Below are 6,562 nucleotides of genomic sequence, written 5' to 3'. Positions count from 1 at the left end.
TGGGTCTACGTTGATACTGAGAGAGTGGGATGGTAATGGGAACAACAGTCGAAATAGTTTTCTTTTCCTATACTGGCAGTCCAGACATGGCAATAGCCAATTTTTAAAGTTCTGGGTGTTCTGGGCTCAGAATGGGGAGTATCATACGAGGCCTGGGGGTGGGTAATGCCTTTATCTTCCTATTTTAAGAGAAAGAATGAGCTGATCCTCGTATGCACAGTAGAATGATGATTCTCATTCTCCTGATAAGAAGTAAAATAAGTAGCCTCCAGGCATTCCTTTCCACCAGAGGAGCAATTGTTTTTTAAATAGCCTTTTGGTGCCTAGTCTATTACTAGACCATATGAGTCATTTTTTAGTATTACTGCATGTGAGTTAACACAGTCTTCCTAAATTAAAGTTTTAGATGGGCCCTCAAAATTTTTAGGGCATGGTTTTCCTGCAGGTTTATATTGAAAGTATGGGGTATCTCCTATTACTCCTCCTTTCATTTGTTTTAAAGGAGAAAGGGAGAGACCAGAGACTAAATGTCCTGTTTTATCTGTAGCTGATGTTTCCGGAAGATAAGCAGCCTAGACTTGAGTTCGTAGATGGATGCAACTAGGTGCATGTCCGAGGCACAGAGGGGGGTATTTATAACCTATGGTAACATTAAATGCAGTGCCTTCTTCTCCTGGTTGAGCAGGGCAACGGTCATCTGTGGCTCTAGGCATCCACACACTATCGTTAGTGTAGATTTCTGCAGGAGCATCTATCTAGGTGAGAGGTCGAATAAGTGGAGGAAAAGGCACATAAGCCTAATAAGAATAATTATGTGTAGCAGGTAAATCAGTGTGAGAGGAAACTGGTGAGACAGAAAGTATAAGGAGGAGAATCATTAAATAAAACCTAGTGTAAGCGAGATTGAGTGCTGAAGGAGGAAGAGAAGAACAGAGGGATGTTATTTTCAGGCTAATAGAAATGGTGAGATTTTTAGGTTTGTAAGGAGAAAAAGAAAAGTAATCAGGAGAAGTGGGATTAGTTAGATGGGTCTCCATTGCCTTCAGGGAGGATTGATTTACACCTATTGTGATTTGATGTGCCTGTTTCTGAGGAATCAGCACAGATCTCATCATATCTGAAGGCAGTCTCTGACACAGACGTCTTTTCTCTGTGGTTTTGATTGTCAGTATTCACCTGAAGCTTGAGTCTTCTGGTGGGTACTTAGACAGGGGATTGATGATCTCCTGGTGAAACACAAGCATATCCTCTTCCTCATGTTATAATTGTGCCAGGTTCCTAGGTATTGGTTTGGGAGTTTTTCCATAACACTGGCTTGCCTTCGTTTAAGGAAAATTTTTTGCCTGTATAATGGCATTCGGCTGCAGTTAGAGTATTATCTTTAGGAACATTTAAAAAATTTAAAGTAAACAATGCCAAATGTAATTGGGAGTGGGGAGTTGTTAAATCATGTTTTGGTTGTTCAGACTGTTGGGACAATTGGGTTTTTAAAGTGCGATTGTAAGGGATTCTAGTAGTAGGATCTGTGATGCCTTTCAAGCCACAAAAACTAGCAAGTTTTTATTAAGGATTTTCAAAAGAGGAAGGAGTGTGCGAATAGGTGTAGGTGACAGACATCAAGTACTTAACAGGGTAATAGAATATTACAAGGCAAGTGGAGGCAAGGCGAGATCACAGGACCACAGGACTGAGGCGAATTTAAAATTGCTAATGAAGTTTCAGGCACTATTGTCATTGATAACATCTTATCAGGAGACAAGGTTTTGAGATCAACTGGTCTGACTAAAATTTATTAGGCAAGAATTTCCTCTTCCTAATGAGCCTAAGAGCCTATAGGAGACTAGAGTCTATCTTACCTCTGCAATCTTGACCATAAGAGACAAGTACGCCTCAAGGGGGCCAGTTCAAAGACTTACTCCTAGGTGCGCATTCTCTTTCTCAAGGACGTTCCATGCTGAGAAAAAGAATTCAGCGATATTTCTCCCATTTGCTTTTGAAAGAAGAGAAATATGGCTCTGTTCTGCCTGGCTCACCAGCAGTCAGAGTTTAAGGTTATCTCTCGTATTCCTTGAACAATTGCTGTTATCCTGTTCTTTTTTTGAGGTGCCTACATTTCATATTGCTCAAACACACATGCTGTACAATTTGTGCAGTTAATGCAATTATTACAAGGTCCTAAGGTGACATACATCTTTCTCGGCTGACAGGATTAAGAGATTAAAGTAAAGACAGGCATAGGAAATCACAAAGGTATTGATTAAAGAAGTGATAAGTGTCTATGAAATCTTTACAATTTATGTTTAAAGATTGCAGTAAAGACAGGCATAAGAAATTACAAAAGTATTAATTTGAGGAACTAATAAATGTCTATAAAATCTTCATAATCCACGTTCTTCTGCCATAGTTTCAGCCAGTCCTTCTGTTTAAGGTCTCTGACTTCCTGCAACAAATATCCCTGATGAACATCAATGCAAAAATCCTCAATAAAATACTGGTAAACCGAATACAGCAGCACATCAAAAAGCTTATCCACCACGATCAAGTCAGCTTCATCCCTGGGATGCAAGGCTGGTTCAACATATGCAAATCAATAAACATAATCCATCATATAAACAGAACCAACAACAAAAACCACATGATTACCTCAATAGATGCAGAAAAGGCCTTTGACAAAATTCAACAGCGCTTCATGCTAAAAACTCTCAATAAACTAGGTATTGATGGAACTTATCTCAAAATAGTAAGAGCTATTTATGACAAACCCACAGCCAATATCATACTGAATGGGCAAAAACTGGAAGCATTCCCTTTGAAAACTGGCACAAGACAGGAATGCCCTCTCTCACCACTCCTATTCAACATAGTGTTGGAAGTTCTGGCCAGGGCAATCAGGCAAGAGAAAGAAATAAAAGGTATTCGATTAGGAAAAGAGGAAGTCAAATTGTCCCTGTTTGCAGATGACATGATTGTATATTTAGAAAACCCCATCATCTCAGCCCAAAATCTCCTTAAGCTGATAAGCAACTTCAGCAAAGTCTCAGGATACAAAATCAATGTGCAAAAATCACAAGCATTCCTATACACCAATAACAGACAAATAGAGAGCCAAATCATGAGTGAACTCCCATTCACAATTGCTTCAAAGAGAATAAAATACCTAGGAATCCAACTTACAAAGGATGTGAAGGACCTCTTCAAGGAGAGCTACAAACCACTGCTCAATGAAATAAATGAGGACACAAACAAATGGAAGAATATTCCATGCTTATGGATAGGAAGAATCAATATCATGAAAATGGCCATACTGCCCAAAGTAATTTATAGATTCAATGCCATCCCCATCAAGCTACCAATGACTTTCTTCACAGAATTGGAAAAACTACTTTAAAGTTCACATGGACCCAAAAAAGAGCCCGCATTGCCAAGACAATCAATCCTAAGCAAAAAGAACAAAGCTGGAGGCATCACACTACCTGACTTCAAACTATACTACAAGGCTACAGTAACCAAAACAGCATGGTACTGGTACCAAAACAGCATGGTACTCGTACCAAAACAGAGATATAGACCAATGGAACAGAACAGAGCCCTCAGAAATAATACCACACAACTACAACCATCTGATCTTTGACAAACCTGAGAAAAACAAGCAATGGGGAAAGGATTCCCTATTTAATAAATGGTGCTGGGAAAACTGGGTAGCCATATGTAGAAAGCTGAAACTGGATCCCTTCCTTACACCTTATACAAAAATTAATTCAAGATGGATTAAAGACTTAAATGTTAGACCTAAAACCATAAAAACCCTAGAAGAAAGCCTAGACAGTACCATTCAGGACATAGGCATGGGCAAGGACTTCATGACTAAAACACCAAAAGTAATGGCAACAAAATCCAAAATTGACAAATGGGATCTAATTAAGCTAAAGAGCTTCTGCACAGCAAAATAAACTACTGTCAGAGTGAACAGGCAACCTACAGAATGGGAGAAAATTTTTACAATCTACCCATCTGACAAAGGGCTAATATCCAGAATCTACAAAGAACTTAAACAAATTTACAAGAAAAAAATCAAACAACCCCATCAAAAAGTGGGTGAAGGATATGAACAGACACTTCTCAAAAGAAGACATTTATGCAGCCAACAGACACCTGAAAAAATGCTCATCATCACTGGCCATCAGAGAAATGCAAATCAAAACCATAATGAGATACCATCTCACACCAGTTAGAATGGCAATCATTAAAAAGTCAGGAAACAACAGGTGCTGGAGAGGATGTGGAGAAATAGGAAAACTTTTACACTGTTGGTGGGACTGTAAACTAGTTCAACCATTGTGGAAGACAGTATGGCAATTCCTCAAGGATCTAGAACCAGAAATACCATTTGACCCAGCCGTCCCATTACTGGGTATATAACCAAAGGATTATAAATCATGCTGCTATAAAGACACATGCACACGTCTGTTTATTACAGCACTATTCACAATAGCAAAGACTTGGAACCAACCCAAATGTCCATCATTGATAGACTGGATTAAGAAAATGTGGCGCATATACACCATGGAATACTATGCAACCTTAAAAAAGGGTGAGTTCATGTCCTTTGCAGGGACATGGATGAAGCTGGAAACCATCATTCTCAGCAAACTATCAGAAGGACAGAAAACCAAACACCACATGTTCTCACTCATAGGTGGGATTTGAACAATGAGAACACTTGGACACAGGGTGGGGAACATCACACACTGGGGCCTGTCGTCGGGTCGGGGGAGGGGAGAGGGATAGCATTAGGAGATATACCTAATGTAAATGACGAGTTAATGGGTGCAGCACACCAACATGGCACATGTATACTATAAGTAACAAACCTGCACGTTGTGCACATGTACCCTAGAACTTAAAGTATAATAAAAAAAACTATAACATGAAAAAAATAAATAAAAGTAAAGTTTTTTAATTAAAAAAAAGATAGGAATTATTTCTTTGATAAAACCACCAAAAAAAAGTTCTATTCACTTATTTCACATCAAAAAAGAATTTGAGTGTTAGACCAAGTAATATGTTAATGTCTTATGACTGTTAAATGATACCTATTTAACACCTTTATCTCTCTGAATTAATGATACTTGGTGTGAATATTTATTCCAACAAAAGTAGGCCATCTAAGATTATATTTTCCTCACAGATGGTTGAGCTCTTCTCACACCCTCTATAGCCTTAATATATAGACTGTAAAGTATACTGTCATTTTAAAAAAAGTGAAAAGGATATTTATATCAGGCTAATCAATTTGAATTTTGGGTAATGAACACACCAATTACCCGTGTTTTCCAAATCTCATGTGCACAAGGGACTATGAATCATGTACTTCATTAAAGTGCAAGGCACATTACTATTGAATTTTTTCTGAATTCATATTACATTATTATTATTAGTGTCAGGAGATACTATTTAATTCAGAAAAAACAGCCTGGACAACATGGTGAAACTCCGTCTCTACTAAAAATACAAAAATTAGCCGGGCGTGATAGCGCATGCCTGTAATCCCAGCTACTTGGGAGGCTGAGGCACGAGAATAGCTTGAACTGAGAATGTGGAGGTTGCAGTGAGCCAAGATCATGCTACTGCACTCCAGCCTGGGCAACAAGAGTGAGTCTCTGTCTCAAAAAAAAAAAAAAAAAAAAAAAAAGACGAGATACCTTAACAGACTTTTTTTTAAATCTTGTGATTTTACTAGCTTAGAAAATAATTGATATCATAATTGAAGCATAATTTTATTTAAAAAAATACATTTTGACTCTGTCCTCACCTCTCTTTCCACATCACCTTAGTGAATGGTGAGCAGAAAAGGTGTTTGCTAAAAATAGAGTTCACAGTCAGATATGTAGTAAACTTAAACATATTTGCAATATGTAAAGAATTCTCAAAACTCAATAATAAGAAAACATACAAACAACCCAATTCAAAATGAGAAAAGATTTGAACAGATACTTCAACAAAGAAGATAATACAGATGGCAGATAAGCACAGGAAAAGATGTTCATCATTAGTCATTAGGGGAATGCAAATTAATGCCACAATGAGATACCTGTAAACATGTTTTACAGTGGCTAAAATCAAAAAGACTGACCATACCAATTGTTGACAAAGATATAGAACAATGGAGGCCAGGTGCGGTGGCTCACACCTGTAATCCCAGCACTTTGAGAGGCCAAGACAGGCAGATCACAAGGTCAGGAGATCGAGACCAGCCTGGCCAATATGGTGAAACCCCATCTCTACTAAATATGTAAAAATTAGCCAGGCGTGGTGGCAGGCGCCTGTAGTCCCAGCTACTCAGGAGGCTGAGGCAGAAGAATCGCTTGAACCCAGGAGGCAGAAGTTGCAGTGAGCCGAGATCATGCCACTGCCCTCCAGCCTAGGCGACAGAGCAAGACTCCATTTCAAAAAAAAAAAGAACAATGGAAACTCATAACACTGTTAGTAGGAACGTAAAATGGTATAACCACTTTGGAAAACAGTTTGGCAGTTTCTTAAAAGTTAAACATACTCCTATCAT

At 38.4% G+C, this 6,562-nt stretch overlaps 1 protein-coding gene and 1 long non-coding RNA gene across 14 annotated transcripts in view; one reads left to right on the top strand and one right to left on the bottom strand.

Annotated features, from left to right (window-relative positions):
- CASK (calcium/calmodulin dependent serine protein kinase) overlaps nt 1-6,562 on the top strand; it is a 408,621-nt gene that overhangs the window by 276,885 nt on the left and 125,174 nt on the right. The window lies entirely within an intron of this gene.
- LOC124905180 (uncharacterized) overlaps nt 1-6,562 on the bottom strand; it is a 39,334-nt gene that overhangs the window by 14,002 nt on the left and 18,770 nt on the right. The gene's annotated exons all lie outside the window — the stretch shown is intronic.

Source organism: Homo sapiens, chromosome X (genome assembly GCF_000001405.40).
Source record: "Homo sapiens chromosome X, GRCh38.p14 Primary Assembly".
Taxonomy (NCBI): Eukaryota; Metazoa; Chordata; class Mammalia; order Primates; family Hominidae; genus Homo; species Homo sapiens.
The sequence above is the reverse complement of the archived record's forward strand: the minus strand, read 5'-3'. Positions and strand labels throughout refer to the sequence as shown.